General features: G+C 38.0%; 1 long non-coding RNA gene across 1 annotated transcript in view; it reads right to left on the bottom strand.

Annotated features, from left to right (window-relative positions):
- Nucleotides 1-450: 450 nt before the first annotated feature.
- Nucleotides 451-17,126, bottom strand: part of LINC02758 (long intergenic non-protein coding RNA 2758) — a 140,695-nt gene continuing 124,019 nt past the window's right edge. The window contains exons 7-8 of the long non-coding RNA XR_002957243.2: nt 789-987; nt 451-542 (exon numbers count right to left, since the gene is read on the bottom strand). This is a non-coding gene — a long non-coding RNA (long intergenic non-protein coding RNA 2758). The remainder of the gene's footprint in view (nt 543-788; nt 988-17,126) is intronic.

Genomic DNA, 17,126 nt, shown 5'->3' with positions numbered 1-17,126 from the left:
GCTTTATGCATGTAAGAAAATTGAGTCTGAGAGGTTAAGCAACTTGCTTGAAGTCATACTGTTTATAAATAGCAAGGCTGGGGATTCAGATTCAAGGCATTCTGGCCACAGTCTGGCTCAAGTCCATGCCTCCACCCATAACACCATAATGACCATGACTGAAAATGTCATCTTACTCCTAAGAGAGAATAGTTTTATCCCAGCAGCCACACAGTACTGGGGCTAGAACACAGGGTTTGGGATCACTCAAACATTCAAAGCCTGATCATGTATCTCTTAGCTATGCGACTGTGGGAAAGTCATCCTATATCTAAGACATCATTTCTTCATCCGTGTATCTTTAACTTGATTTAATTTTCATAAGCTTTAGCAACAAAGATTCCAGATAGTTCTGTCATCATTCATGCAAGAATGAGTGACATTTTAGGCAGTGACATTATCTTACCTTCACTCCTACAGGTAAACTTTTTGTTTTGAAGCTCTGGGCCTCTTTAGACTCATTCAAGTTCTATTGTCCGAGAGAGGGAGCATGACCAGCTGTTCTGTTTAAAGGAAAAGGAGAGGAAGCTATAAAATAGATATGTTATCCAACCCCCAAAGCCAGATTTAGGAACAAACAAACTCAAGTCCTTAAGGACCCAAGCTCAGTTGGAGGCAACAAGATCTCTTATCTGAAATGAGAACAAATGGAATAAATACTTTTGTGCTTAGAAACTGAAAAGGAAAATAGTCCAACTATTAGTCGAAATCAGAGAAATTGTGTGCCTGAGTCTGTAGTGGACACATACCTGAACGTAGTCTGGAAATAACAAGTCATGTTATTTCCCTGATGGCTGGTCCTGTGGAGCTTGACCCTTGCCTGGAACTGATAGACTCAAAGACTTAAGTTGTCATCTTGGGGGAATAAACAGAAGCACATTTTTCTTAGCTCAGGCCAAAGTGAAAGAAGTGTAATCTTTCTCCTTCAGTGAATCTCAATTTCCTCATCTATAAAATAGGAATAAAATGAATGATTGTTTCTAAAATGTCATTAATAACAATAACATGTATCAATTCAATTTCATTGCCAACTTCTATTAATTTTTAGTGGCAACCTTAGAGAGCTATGTTCAGAAGGATTCTGAAGCTCAGTGTCATAGTTGATTAATAATGAATGGCGCGGACATGGGGAGGCCAATGGGCTACCTTTAAGATACAATCCAAATTCCTCAATGTACCTTAAAATAAAGACCTTTGTGATAGGGACTTCTCCAGTCTCACCTCATCTCATCTCTCAATTACTCACCTCATCCCTGACCACCTAATCTGCTCTAATCAAAATAAATAATTTTCACTGTCTCAGAGATAGCATTGTAATATTGTTTCTTCAGCCTGGGATATTTTTGCTCTCTACCTTTTCTCCTCCCAAGCTTTATCATAGCCCCACACCTTCTGCCCACATGTGTACACATACACACATCCCATATTTTACAGGAAGTTATTATATCCTCCTATGATATGTTCCTTAGTATCCCATCCTAACCTGAAAATTTGATTGGGTGTGATTATCAGTTTTCTTGTCTTTCACTGGATTATAATTGCTTGCAGTCAACAGTACTGACCTAAGGAGTATTGTGTGTAAATATATAGAGAATATTTAGAAAGTGCCTGGTGTATAGCAAGCACAGCACAAATGTCAGTTATGATTGTCATTATTTGGTATTAACCTGTTATTTTGAAATCACCAAAATCTGGACAGTTTCTTAAATCTTGACCATAACAAAATAATGATATTAAATATGTGAAAAAGTCTTTAAATTTAAGTAGTAAAACCAGGAATTACAACCTCAGCACTTAATTCTTAAGTCGGAGCTCTCTCCACTGATATTATAGCTGTAATACCTGAAATACCTCCTTTCTTAAGCACTTAAACATGCAATATGGATCCCACAGTAAACTGAAACTGATTACAGCATGCTATATTACACATATACAACAAGTACAGATGATTTTATTAACATTGAAACATATTCTAACTTTGCCCACTCTAGGCTGATAGACAAAACTTGCACCTCCTATTATATACACTATAAAACTTACACATTAAAATATTAAATAATTGTGACTGGCTATGATCAATAAGTTATTTTGTCTGGCATATAATGCATTATTTATTATAACTTGCCTAATCAGCATTTTGATATTTTAAAAACACAATTTCAGAACAATATTGAATATCTAGACCTATCTATTTATTTATCCAGTTCTAAACTGTAAAGAAAGTGGTTTCAGGGGTCATGACTGAAACCTGGTCCACATTTAACTCTCTATGGCTCTCCTTGCTTTGATGCTCAAATTCAGAACACATCGAAACTCTGTACTAATAACATGTTTTCACCTCATACAATACAGGTAAAAGAGTATCAGTTGAGAAGTATGGAACGCCAAGGTCTTTACTAAGCTTAAATTCAGAATAAGATTCTCATTTTTCCCTAAACCCCTGAAAAATGACATAATTTCAGGTTCTTTGAAGAATCAGAAGTCAATATTACCTCATGTATCAACAAGTGAGTTGCTCAAATGTAGATCTACTATCGCAGATCTACAAAGATTGCAGATTGTAAAGACTGTAAGAGAATGGAAACTAATGTTGGCTGTATATAATTGATAAAGCTATGAATTTATGCACTCATAACAATATGTTTGCTTTAAGTAAGCATCTTTAGAAATAAAAGCTATTGCCATTTTGTATACGTCAAGGTGTTGGAGAGAACTACTAGTTTCAAAACAATGATGGACAACCCCATAAACCTTGGGAAGAAATTATCTTATTGATCTTTAATTGCATGCCTAGCAAAGGAAGAAACACAGACAAAGCAGGCCCTCTGGAAACATCTGTTGAGTTGATCTGAGCTGAAACAGAACTGTCATCATAGAGGATATCTGATTCTTCACAAGTTTAGTCAATTTCAATCAAATATATATATTTCATTTCAAAACATCTCTCAAGCTTGTTTAGTGTCATATACAGCTACATCTTATTTAGGGAATTGCTTTCCATTTGAAAATCCAAGCCTGAATCCAAAGTTCATAATTTCATGTGAGTTTTCCTTAAAACAGCATAAAATGAACCAGAACTCATTGGCAACTAAGGAACGTAAGCAGAATTCAACTCTCAGAATAATTTTATTTGTAAAGGAAAATGCCTCTGCATCTGTACATTATTAAAGCAAATATTGTCAGGTAAATAAGCAATGAGGAGGGAATATTGATATTGTTCATGGCACCCCAGGAAGACAGAATATAGAAGGAGAAGGATTGAATGAGTTTACCTCCTCAGAACCCTGCATATTATATTGACACCAGCTTAGTGAACAAGAGGACAAAAAAGAACAAAAGAGCTGTTTATTAAAAAGGATCTGTGAGCCTGCAGTACCCTGCAGATCCTACAGAATCTACTTGAAAAGGTGCCAAGTAGTGAGTCTGTCACCACACACACTCCAACGACATATGGCCAATAGGTTGTTGGTAAATATTTAATACACTGAAACTAGAGACTCTAATGCCAAACCACTAGGGTTACAAAGGAAAGCCATCACGACAAAGCCCAGGCCTGCTGGTGACAGTGGTGCTGTATTACTGAGCTCTGATCTGCAGACTAAAATTAAAACTCACTCCATTCACATAACACAACTCCCTGCAGGAGACCTTGGTAGATCTTCTCTTTAGTTAAAACTGTCTTCTACGGTTCGGCAGCTTTAGCACAGAGGGAAATTATATTGTTGGACCTTCACATCTATCTTACATACTCTACAGTGACTGAAGTTACTTTTTGGCCTTGGGTTTCCCAAATCCCCAATGCAATAGTGGTGTTTACTTTTTGTCAAACTTGTCATGCTGTCCTTATTCTGATAATGTGGGATATTTTCCGTGTTAGCTAATCCAACGTGAGGGAAACAAGATATCTGATTAGATATATACATATCTATAGATTTTTTTTAAATCAGAGGTCTGAATTTTGGTTGATAACCATAACCCAATTGTTGCATAGTCCTGAAGAAGTTTCAGAGTATTCAACAATCCACCAAATAGGAGCATTCATTCCTACTTCCTACCACCCAATACTGTTGACTCATCCCAAAAATTCAGGTCATCAGGAAAATAACTGGAGAGGAGAAATGTTAATAATATTACTGGCTCCTATTTTTTTGACTGCCTGTTTGCACCAGATCCTGTGCTAAATGTGGTTTGTACATTATTTCCTTTCATCTTCACCATAACCTTGTACAGTAGGTATTATTATCTATGTTTTGTTGAAGAGAAACTGAGACTCAGAAAAAGTCATCTGTCTCAGAGGGATAAGCCCAGAATTAGAATATAGGTGCCTATGATGTAAAACATGTGCTGTTTGTCACCAAACTATGATAACAGTTCTCTGAAAAGTCCTTCTAGGGGAAGGGTCCTATGGGACCAGGCAGGTAATACAGTGAGAAGTGGGATGAGAGTAAGACAGAGGTATATCTATAAAAAACTATTTTTCTCTGTTCTAATTCTAAAGGGGAAAAAGATTAATTGCAATTGACACTTTGTCTTTATATCAGGGATACCTCAAAGGGGAGAAAAGTTTAGAAGTTAATGAAGGGATACCTCATACCAGTAATGAACTTTGGCTGTCCTGGAGGGACTGGTCTGCACTTGATGTTGGAGGACTGTGCTGCACACGTCATCATCTTGCTTTAAGGAACATTTCCCAAGAAGATCACTATAAAGGGGCGATGATGCAGCACATGAAATCTTTCTTCAGATTCAACCTTCCCTTGTTTATTGGGTACCAAATATTTGTAAGACACATATAAATGCATGAAGCTGTTAGTGGATCATACTATAGTCTTACATTTTAATGGAAATTTTAATTTAATATTTTCATAAGCATTTTCACATACATGTTTCAAAACTTATTATTAAATACCTATAAAATATCTCGTCAGCCTAGGACCACCTAAATGGATGAAGGCCATTACTAATTATATGTGCCCATCCTAGTGTTTGGCCTTGGCATCTGTTCGGATCTTATTGTAAGGCATACTATTCTCCCCACCCCCAATACACACATGTTAATACACTTATGCCTGAACTAGTCACCCCTGGTCAATGCAGCGGTCTTTAGGACATAATTTGATTTACAGTCTCAACATTTTCACTGGGATTATAGATCCTCAAAAACCAGAGTGTCTGCCTGAAGGTCAGGTGACCAAGTCTGTGTTGCATTACTCATTGTCAAAATTGCAGCCAAACGAGGAACATATGTAAAATTTATAGACATTCTGGCATCACTCTTAATTAGTAACCACGATCTGAGCATTTGTTATTTAAGCTCATTTAATTCCAGCCAGATTACAGTGTGTTGCAATGCAAGCTGCCTTCTGCATCATGCAATGTTCCATTAGCAGGCTTCAGGGAAGCATGAAAAGTCACATTCAATCAGTTCTCAGAGCATACTGTCCTGAGCTGTGGAGGCTATGTGAGCTACCACGGGCCACAGCTCTGGCATGTGGACCACCAGGTGGCACTATCAGTGAGGGGCTACTGGCCGGCACACTGCAGTGACTGCCACAGGCCTTTTTAATTTTCTACCATATGTTACATAATAAACATTATTTAGGAACCATGCGTTTGTGAGTGTGTGTACTCATTCACCCATGTGAGTAGGGAGAAAGAAATATTTTTTTTTTCCAATGTAGATGGTGTGGTCCGGAAATGCCATTGTTGACCTGGGTGGAGAGTGGGATGCTTAATGAAGATTAATGGATTTTTAAAAATGAAAACAAGTGTCAAGTTATGGGTTCAAAGGTTCTCAGTTGGCCATGTGGTTGCATGTCAGAGGGCTTCATGTACTGTGGTCGAAGTGTTACAGCTCTTTCTAATAAAACCTAAAACTTTTGAATGCAGAATCTGGCAGGGTTTGTCTCTCCACAAACACGCAGGGCAGTTTGTGCCAGTATGTGCAGAAAAGCGAGCAGAAGGGATCAGGGAAGAGAAAGATGTTCAGTAAACGAATGCGCTCTCTCTCTCTCTCCTCTCTTCTCCTTTCTTCTCAGGGGGAAAGGAGGTTATTTAAGGACCTTTTGCCTATAGGGGAGGACTGGCGGGAAGGTACGTGTTTTCGACTAGAAGGAAATAAAAGGAAAACACTGGGGGAGAGTGGGGTGGAGCCCAAGGGAAAACGATGAGTCATCGAAATGTGGTCAGGAACAGTGCAGTCATCCAGTCCATCTCAGCTCTCACCTGGGATTCTAGTCCTGATTCCCCTCCTGTCAGATATGGGCCAGGACTGTATTTCCCTGGATCTCATTTTCTTCACTGGTCCTATAAGGAATTGAATGACATGACCCTACAGATCTCTTCCCAATTTCAGTATTCCATTATTATTTTATGTGATGAAGTCTAACTTCTCTGCAATTCTTATTGTTTGAAATAAACCCCTGTTTATTTAGAGAAATTTCCTCTATTTTAAAGCATAAGCAGAAATATGTTTAGCAACAACTAATCTTTTAATAAAAAGCTTTGTTATTGAACGTAAAACTTCTTTCAATGGATCAATGTGTGTTTAGGACCTTTCCTGGGCTCAGTCCTCTGGTGAGAGCTGCTGGAGATATGAGACGTAAGAAGTAACTCCTGCCCCCAAGGCGTTGGCAGGTCAGTGGAGAGAAGACACAAATACACATGAAGCAATGAGTAAATGGGACAGCATGGGATACAGTGGCACACTATGAGGGGTCCTTGAGGGGAAGAATCTTAGATAGATCTTGGAGGATACAGAATGATACTGAGCTTTGCAAAACAACCACAAAAGGGTAAAGGCAGGGGATTTCCTAAACAAAGAAGAGGAAGTCATTTATAATTTACAGGATGTATCCAAGCAGGGAAAGGTGCAGAAGGGATGGAGCAATAGCAAGGGCATGGCCTAGACTATGGAGAAGTAGTCATGGAATGAAGCAGTGGAAAATATGAGAACAATACAGAATCAAAAGACCTTAAAGGCCGGCAAAATTTAAAATATATACTATATCTATCTATCCATTAGATCTATGCTAGCTTTTGAACATAGCCTTTAATCATACTATAGTCTTACATTGTATTAGGCATTTTAATTTAATATTTTCATAAACATTTTTATTTCATATGCTTCATAAACTCATTAAATACCTATAAAATAGCTGATCAGCCTAGGACCACCTAAGTTTGAATCTTTGCCTTACCATGTGCTATTTGGGGCTGTCCTTAGACAAGTTTTTAGCCTCTCTTTGCCTCAGTTTCCTCATCTGTAAAATTAGAATATTAATAAAATTTCCATTAAAGTTATATGCATTAAGGTATCAAAAGTGTCTAGAGCAGTATCTGGCACAGGGTTAGCATTCAATAAATGTTAGCGCTTAAGTAGATTTACCATAATTTATTTAATCATTATCAAGTTTTAGGAACTTACATTATTTTCAATCTTTCACTATTGAAAGAGACATCACTGTGCACCTCTTTGTGCAAAAAGCTTTTTTGTTATTTAGAATTAGATACTTCTTTAGAAGAAAAGTTCCCAGAATTGGAATTAACAGAGTCAAAGGGTGTGAATATTTGAAGATGTTTGTAACATATTGCCAAAGTAGCTCCCCAATGGACTGTACAGCCTTGCCTGCATGAGATAGGGCCTCCTTTAAAGAGAAATAGAAAAGTCCCCAATTTGATAGAGAGGATTGGTATATCAGTGATGTCAGTTTGATTTGTATTTCCTTAATTATTAGTGAAAACCAACATCCTCCCATCTTTGTAAACAAACAACATTTTCACTTTTGTGAATTATCTTTCAGAATTTTTGCTTATGTGTCTGTTGAGGTCTTGATCACTTTAACACTGCTTCCTCTTGGCATTACGTATTCAGTTTGTACTTGGATGATATTTAACAGGCACTGATACATTCCTCCGTAGTTGTCCTCGTGTCATTTAATCCATATGTGTTTCCTTTTCAGTATAACAAGAACATTATCTCATTCCTTAGCATCCATTTCTGACAATTCTTAGTACCTGAACAAATGCTTTGTATACAGTAGGTATTCAATAAATACCTGATGAGCCAACAGAAGAATGCCATTTTCTTCACCACTTTAATCAACAGTTTTCTATAATTTTAAATTCAGATTATCTATCTATCTATCTATCTATCTATCTATCTATCTATCTATCTATATTTGTAATGCTCAGCACGTGACTCTCAACTATACTCACATACTTTTATTAGAGAAAATGCCAAACTTATGCCTTTTTACAGACTGCATTATTGAAGCTTTGTCAAGGAAGAATAGTATTCATTGATAAATCCCAATAGTATAATCAGATGATCTTGAACCAGGGAACCATTTCCTCAATCCAAAATCTGAACTCTGTTTTTCAACAAGATCTCAGGCCTGGAAAAAGGGAGAAAGGAGAACGCACTGTTTTCCCCTCATACTTTTTGGCCATGGAAGTTTTGATGGATAGCAGAGGAGTAATGAAGTGCATATTCTCCTGGACAGTCTGACGTCAGCAGGGAAAGCAGAGTGGCCTATATTTCAAGAAGTGAAACGTTGACGAGGGCCAAACTGCAAGCTCTCAGCACTCAGGTCATTTAATTAGCATTTGTTATTTTTATACATTGGTAGTTATGGATGTCAATGGCATTTTAATATCCTAGAATGGTCATAGCACCAGTACACTCACTCCCACTAATATTTCATGGCTCATGGATCATTTCTAAATCAAGAGCCTGGTTGGTAATACATTTTAACACTTTCTATAACAGAGCTAGAAGGAAGCAAAAAGTGATACTCTCTCCTGAGTACACAACATACTCTCTCCCACTTAGTTTATGATAACCAACATTATTTTTCATTTATTTTTGTGAGATTTATAGGGCGTATTTGCTCCAGAGGATTCTGTTCAGAATTACAAGTAGTTAGGTGATTTGCTTGCATGCTATTAATTTTTACTTACTCTGTTATAGTTTTAACATATGTTAGACTCAGGAACTGATGCATCATACCCCTCTTAAAGACCCAAACCAAATATTAAGCCTCTCTGTGAAGTCTTTATTTTATGACCAATACCTTCTTAAAAGCAGAATTAATATAAATTGAGCTCTCTTTCCCCACTCTATCATATTGTTACATGATATGTAGCAACATAATATAATTAAGGGAGCTTAGTTTATATTAATTCTCCCTGTTGTGTAGAAGACATCTCTTGAATGGTCTGCTCAACTCCTTACTATGTTAACCAACATCTTAGAGAGCAACAGATCACAGGGTAAGATGGTGAAAGCCACGTTTTACATTGTAGCCCACCCCTATCTACTGCTAATTGGCTCAGAAGTAGCTACCTGACAAGTTAGACCAAGCAGAATCTTTCCTAAAAATTTGAAATTAGGAGCGAGGGTATGGGGGGTGCTTTTTCACCTTTTAGCTAGGATCAAGTGGACAGAGAGGACAGAAGAGGGAAAAACTATGAAAGATGAAGAGGTGGAAGACTGAAGAATGGAAAGGAGAGATTCAGAAGTCCAGTAAGAAATTTGACTGTAATTGATATACAATAAAAAGTGGTGTGATATGGCTACCCCTGTTCAGCCACAGGTATCGGAGGGGCACAGGTGCCATGTGTCCAGGAAGAGCAGAAGAAGCAGACAGGTAGGGAGGAGCAGAATCCAAGGTGGAGAGAGGTTTAATGGCTCTCTAGATCTTGTCTCCAATCTCCTCTCTAGTCCCAGTTATGTTCTTTTCTGCTTGTAATACATGCCCTGTTTTAAACTTAGATCAGATTATTAAATTGGTTTCCAACACTTTTGACTACAGCATCTCAATATTATAATTGTAAATGTCTCCCTAGTTCGACTATGAGTTTCTTAAGGGAAGGGACTCTACTTTATCTGTCTTGATTATATCCTAAAATGTCTAAAGGAGTACCTGGCAATAGTATATGCTCAATTAATATTGGTCAAAAATATTGAATCACTGAATCATTCAACACACACCCAGGAATAACACATGAAAAAGACCCATTGTGAATATTTTGGGATAAATTTAGCAAGTATTTTAACAATTACCACTTCAGCTTGGGACTTAGTATATGCCACCCACCTTTGAATGAGATAGAGACTAGATAATTTCAGATTATTTCAAAGTTTCTTTCTGGCAAAAAGGAAATAATGAGCCACAGTATCACAGTTTTTACTTTTCTCAAAATGTTCCAGTCTAGTGTAAAATATTTTGAACCTAAATATAATTTTTTTAAAGTAAGGCCTTAAAATTTTCTAATTCATAATAGGTGGATAGCTATTCATTTATTCTGTGAACATATGCTGAGCCCCTTATACTAGGTACTATGTCAGGTACCAAATTGGAAAGGAAAGAGAGTGAGAGTCTCTCATCTTGAATCTGTCTAGGGAGAAAGATAGTTATCAAAATACATGATTGTACTATTTGACATGGTTCTAGAGTGGAGGTCTCTATGAAACATAATGGAAATCAGGACTCAGTGGGGGAAAGATAGGAAAGCCCTCCCAAAGCAAACAAGTTCTGAACCGGATACTAAATGATAAATAGTAGTTAGCACATTACAGCAAATAAAAATTATTTATATTAAGTTGTACAAAGTAGAATATAAAATAGCAAGGGTTGGGAAGTTGTTTGGGTCAGATTGTGAAGGCCCTATTAGAAGCTATACCTAGGAGTTCAGATGTTCTTGATGACAAAAAAGTTGAGAGTATAAGACTATCACACATGTGTTTAAGTAATTATTTAATAGATACCATTACTGAGAATTTAGTAAGTGACAGATACTGTGGTAAATATTTTGTAGATGTGATACTATGAATCTACAGGGAGAAATATAACTTTTGTAGACCTCTAAGTGGTATTATGTGAAATTGTATGCATAACAAGAATATGTTAGCTATCCCCCAAATGTTATTTCCCTTTTCCTTGATTGTAACCTTAGAACCAATCCACTAAATAGCAAGCTCTTTGAGAGTGAGTGCTATGTTTTATTTTTCTTGGAACTGAAGGTACACAGTAGGAGAGTAATAAAAGTTTTGATGAATAAATGGATTAACAAATTATATAATCACTAGTGAGTTGGGGAGGCACACTGGAGAATGATCTTATTTAGAGTCAGAAAATTCTCACATCTGACTTAAAGCTCTCTCTTGTATCTTTTGCAATAATCCTTTATTCCTCTCCAAAAGACACTGCCATAATGATAACAGCAATAAAGTATAAAAGAAGGGGCAGCTATTATGGGTCATCAGTGACCTTGGCCATGATAGTGACCACTCTGGAAGTATTCCTTCATTCATAGGAGTCTGCTTACCACGGGTGTGGGAAAATTTAATAGTGTGAAATGTAAGGTATGGTATAAATGATAACAACAGTATGAAATGATAAACATTGAGTTAAAATAGACAGAATCATTATTAACCCAGGGCATTGAATGATGCAAAAATAGAAGGAAATAATCAGGAGAAATAGGAGGAAATAGGAGGAAATTATCAGGAGAAAACAAGATTTTAGGCATTTCTCAAATCTTCCACTACCTGTGTCTTTTCCTTCCTCCCCAACTACAAGATTTCACCAGTTCAGATTCCATGTTCAGGAATGAGACTTAACTAATACAAATTTTTCTACAAAATGCATACAGTAATGCTTTTTGGGAGAAAAGTCAAGATTAAAATAACATAGCTGTTGTACCTCTTCAACCCAACCATCTTCAATCAATACTTAGGACTTATGGATGACCACTGGCTGTGAGCAGAAAGTATTCTCTCCCCACAGGCCTGGCATATTGGGTCAGGTGCACCAGAGGAGGAAAGATTCATCTTCTTTGGAAACATCTAAAATAGGCACTTGCCAGAGGCAGGGAACCAGGATGCAAGGCCCACTGGCCTCTGAAATATTTTGAGAACTGATAGAAAATGTGTTTGCAAATGTGACATTCACCTAACTTTCAAAAGAATCTAGAAGACCACACTGAGGTTATACAGAAAACTGAGGAACCATCTGATAGAGGCAACAGTACTTTCTGCTCATCCTTGAAACCAAAAGATCTAGAGTTCAGGCCCAGAGCCGCCACTTATTTACCAGGTGTCCCTAAGCAAGTCACTTAGGGTTTCCGGGGCTCTGTTACGTCTTGTGCAAAATAAAGGTGTTGGAGTGAACGTTGGGTGTTGGGATAAGGGACAGGAGTGGACTCTGGCTAAATTAAGTTTAAAATAAATGTATTAGAAGGATTTGGGTTGCTCACAGAATTGAAGGAAGGCCTGGATAACCAGGCCAGGAAAGGACAGGGACCAGAGATGCCCTGTGGACCCCAGGAGCAGGAACTCCTGCAGAGCCTAACCAAGATGACCATGCCAGAGAGAATGAGCATCAACTTTTCTCTTCTTTTTTTTCTGTCTTTTTATCACATTATACAAAGCCTAGAGGGAGAGAGCCCACTGACCTGGTTTCTGACTCTACCTGTCTATTGGCTAAGCAGGAGCAAAAGAAGTGCCCAATAAATCCAGTTAAAGCTGCATGTGATTGGGGAGGGATTATTCCCCAAAATGAAGTATGGCCGAAGCCGAAAGAAGATAGGATGAGCTCCGAGTTGCTGAAAATCCATGTGTCCAGTTCAGTGGGCATTAGATTCCTATAGAGCAGTAACATCCAGGGATTTCATTTAAATTTTATTATATCATAAAAGAATATTGATACATAAGTGAAGGTAATCAACAACACAAGGGAGGTATATATTTAAAGGAAAATGGTGGCTTTTCCAAAGAGTCTGATTTAGAAAGTCTTGGATGGGCCCATGAATGCGTATTTTCAGAATGTTCCCAAGCGGGTTCTGATGCCAGGTCAGATTTGAAAGTTACCACTCTCCTTTCAATGTATTGAGCTAGAAATTACACACACACACACACACACACACACACACACACACACACACAAATTTTCCCTTCCAAGAGTGCTTTCACATATTATCTAATGACAGCCAGAGTAACAGCCATACAGCCTAACATCACAGTTCCCTAACCTCCTCTACCTTATACTCTAGGCCTGGAGGGCAAGAGAGCACGCTATTGCACAGTACAGTTTAGCCCAAGGAAAAGCAGCAAATACTCTCCCACTCTCCTTTATTAGAAACACTCAATTTAGCAATCCTCCTCCCTCCTGCTGTGCTCACTGCTCCTCCTCCCCACCTCATACGCCATATGCTTTTAATCATGCCCCCACGGTTTCTCTTCCTGCAATGTCCCGGGCAAATTAAACTTGAAAAACAGAAATCTGAGAACTTGGAGCAAACATGGAAACTCGTGACAATGGTGGGAATCAGCAACCAGGCTGAAATCTCTAGCCTACAAGCGAGGAGATAGTTTTGGCCCTTAGCATAGCTAAACCCATAGTATACAGACTCCCCATGAGAGGGTTTAATTGTACTTCTTGTGACTTCCCTTAAAGATTTTCTTCATGGGCCTCTGAAAGTTCATTCTAAAAGGTCCTCTTAGATCCTTACTCAAAATTTCACAATCTCATTTTTGTATTTTTTTCCTTGCAGTTCCATTTAACTATATTTTAGGGGGTCTATGAAATCTCTGACAATGCCCCCAGAATATTGAATGATGTAATCATGTGTATTTTTCTGGGGATTTTCACAAAGATTTATCCACTTCAGAAAACACAAAATCCACTCATCTTAAAGGCTATAAATTAATGACTAAAGTGTTTAAATCTATAGGTCAGAGAAATCTGCTGCAAATCCTTTCTTCATCACTTCCAAGATATGAGACCCTAGACAAGTTACTTCTAAATCTGTGTGCTTAGTCATTTGGCAATAAGAACATCTGGTTCATCACATTGTCTTACAAATTAGATGAATTAAAAATACAAGTTATCACACAGAACCTGCTACTCCATGAATATTGGATTTTAATATTATTATTAATATTACACATTATTATTATTATTGGCAGATGCAGAATCTGAAAGCCACAGAAGTCCAATATCATCAGGTGCTCACAAAAAAAGAACGTGAAAGCAGGTCTTTCAATTTCCAGGGAGATTCACCACTGGGAACAGATTCCAAATTATTTTGGATTTATCTGGATCCTCTGGCCCAAGAAGGGGAAAATGTTATTATATTAGAACCAGGTTTGCAACATGGCAAACATCAAATCTGACAGGCTTTGCTTCTGTTAAGGATGAATTAAACTAAAAATCTAACTAATGAAATTTACAGCTTCACAAAGATTCATGGGACCTTGGGAATCATTAATCCCAAGCATTTCATTCCTGGGTGGAAAACCGAGGTTCAAATTGGTCAGGTAACTAAACACAACAGAAGTCAATTTGAAAGTAAGCCACAGGGCCAGTTTATTATGGGCTAAAAGTTAATTCTGCATCCTCATTGCATTGCCTAAAATTATACCTGAGAGTCATAAGAATTGGATTTTAATTTTCGGCTGTAATATACATACTAAATGTTTATTCTCAGAGTATTTAGCAAGTACCAATTAGGTGTAAGGCATTGTAAGCTTCAGGGAATTCAGCAGTGAGTAAAACAGATCAGATCTCTGACCTTACAGAGCTTACATTCTAGAAAAGAAGATATATACACTAAACAACAAGTTACAATTGATTACAATTGTGCATAACAACTCCGTGGGTCTAAACACGCCTGCCTCACACATAGGGCTACCATGATTACAGTGTGAACAAATACCTGTTGGGCACAGAATAGAGTGAGTGCTTCACACTCATTAGCTATTATATCATCATATCAGCTTCCCCATTCCCTACATTGTTTGCCAGATACCGCTTTGTGTGTAAAATACAAGTCAAGAAATTTCATCTCACAAAGTGCGTTGAGTTTTGACTCCAGTTTGGTGGAGGTCACCATGATTTTTTTCATGGACACCGCTGAAACACTTTCATGTTTTAGAATACTTTAGTGATCTTCTCCAGGTTTTATTCATTTTTCCCCCAGTTCTGAGAAAGCCTTTGACAGGTAAAATCATGAGTGACTTAAAATGAAATCACTTTTTTAAAAATTTAAACACAAAAAGATGTTTCTTTTTCTTCACCATTTAAAGAGGTGGGGCATAGAGCGATGTTCCGGGAGGTTCTTTTCTTCATGCTGACCTAAAAGGCCAGGACTCTGTGAAGTTAAATTGTATCCTCACTGTATCTCTAGCAGCCAGGTTGAAGCCCAGCCATCCCTGGCTTTACTCACCTTTAACCATCTCCCAGCCTCTCCTTTTTTCTCTCTGCTCCACACTGACACCACATATTCTTCCAATTCTTCTTTTGTGAAATCCCTGCCCCATGCCAGCCCCCGAGTTATCTCCTTATTATTGAAGGATCAAGTTGAACTTCTACTGACTTTCTAATCCCAGCTCTGCCTTGGACTCACTGTGTGGCCTTGGGCGAGCTCCTAATTGTTCTAAGCCTATTTTCTATGCATGTAAAAGGGGCAAATACCAAGAGTGGGTGATTGCAGGATTAAATGAAATGCCATGAATTAGCTCCCAAGGCCACATTCAGTAGGTGTTCAAAAATGTTATGTCCCTTTTCTTCCTCTAACAGGAAACCTAGCCAATGACTGGGGTTTTCTGAGGGTGTTCTGTGGAGCCCTGGCTTTCTGCGGAGGGGCCTCAGGATTACCAAGCCCAGTGAGAGGAGAGACAGACAGCCAGATACTGAACCTGCAGCCCTGCTGCATCTAGAGCAACTTCTTATACATCTGCTCTGTGTATTGGGATTCTGAAAGCATTTTGTTTTAAAAAATAATTTTAGATAAGAATGAGTTGAAAAGTGGGAAAGTTAGACAACTGTAAATTTAGAAGGAAGAGTTCACAAAAGACTCCACTCACTTCTGACACCAACTGCAAGTCCATTGGGTTCTCAAAACCACCCTCAAATACAACAATTCACTAGAAGGACTCAGAACACACTGAAAGAAATTATATTCACAGTTACAGTTTGTTACTGATAGAGGATAAAGATTGAGATCAGCCAAGGTAATAGGCACATAGCACATAGGGCAGAGTCCAGAAGGGTGTCAAACATGTAGCTTGAAGTTGTCCTCTTCCTGTGGAATCAGAGACATGTTATTCTTTTGATTTCACTGTGTGACAGTACTCCCAGAGTACTGCCATCTAGAGTAGCTTACTCGAGCCTTGGTGTCCAGAGTTTTTAGTGGGGCTTCATCACACAGTCATGATTGACTATGCACATGGAGCTGATCTCAGTCTCCAGGCCCTGTGAAGTTGGATTAATATTGTGTGACCCCAAACCCACACCCTAAATCTATTGTTACTGTCTGGTATGGGCAACCACCCCCTAAATCACTTTGTTAGATTACCTAGTATGACCTAAGGCCCTGAGGCAAAGACACTCCTATCAAGCATGACATTTCACATGCCTAGAGATTACCTCCCAGAAGCCAAGGGCAAACATCAGAACTCCTTTGAGCCAGGTTAAATTCTTTACTATACAAAAAGCTACTCTCAAATGCACCCTATCTATTCTAAATAAGTCTGTCAAGATCTGCCTCACCTTGATTTTTTATTCCTTCCCCACCGAGAATTCCCTATCACCTTCATTCTGTTTACCCCCAGATCAAGGCCTATCTCAAGTCATACCACTGCCATCAAAGCCCTCCTTGACCACACTGGTCCATGTTGACCCTTCGTTTTTCTTATTTCCAGGAATGCATTTTATCTATGTACTTTCTAACTCTTCAGTTCAACAAACATTTATTATTTGTATAGTGATCTAGAAAAAAGGAGAGACGGAAATCACCAACACATTGATCACTGATTTAAAAAAGTTTCACATCTAGTAGGACAGGCAGGTTATTTTCATTTGCTTATTTAATAAATATTTATTGAATATCTACTCAGTACCAGGACCTAAACTTGTTTAACTAAGTGAAGTAACTAGTTAAATAAGTGAATGAAACCTAAATACAAGAATATATAGTTATCTATAATTACAAACAGAAAAATATAAGACCCAATGAGAGAAGATGAGAATGACAAGATCTGATTCTTGTAGGTCTCAGTAACACATTATTTCATGAATGGT

Source organism: Homo sapiens, chromosome 11, assembly GCF_000001405.40.
Source record: "Homo sapiens chromosome 11, GRCh38.p14 Primary Assembly".
Lineage (NCBI taxonomy): Eukaryota > Metazoa > Chordata > Mammalia > Primates > Hominidae > Homo > Homo sapiens.
Note: the sequence above shows the minus strand (reverse complement) of the source record. Positions and strands in the feature narration are given on the sequence as shown.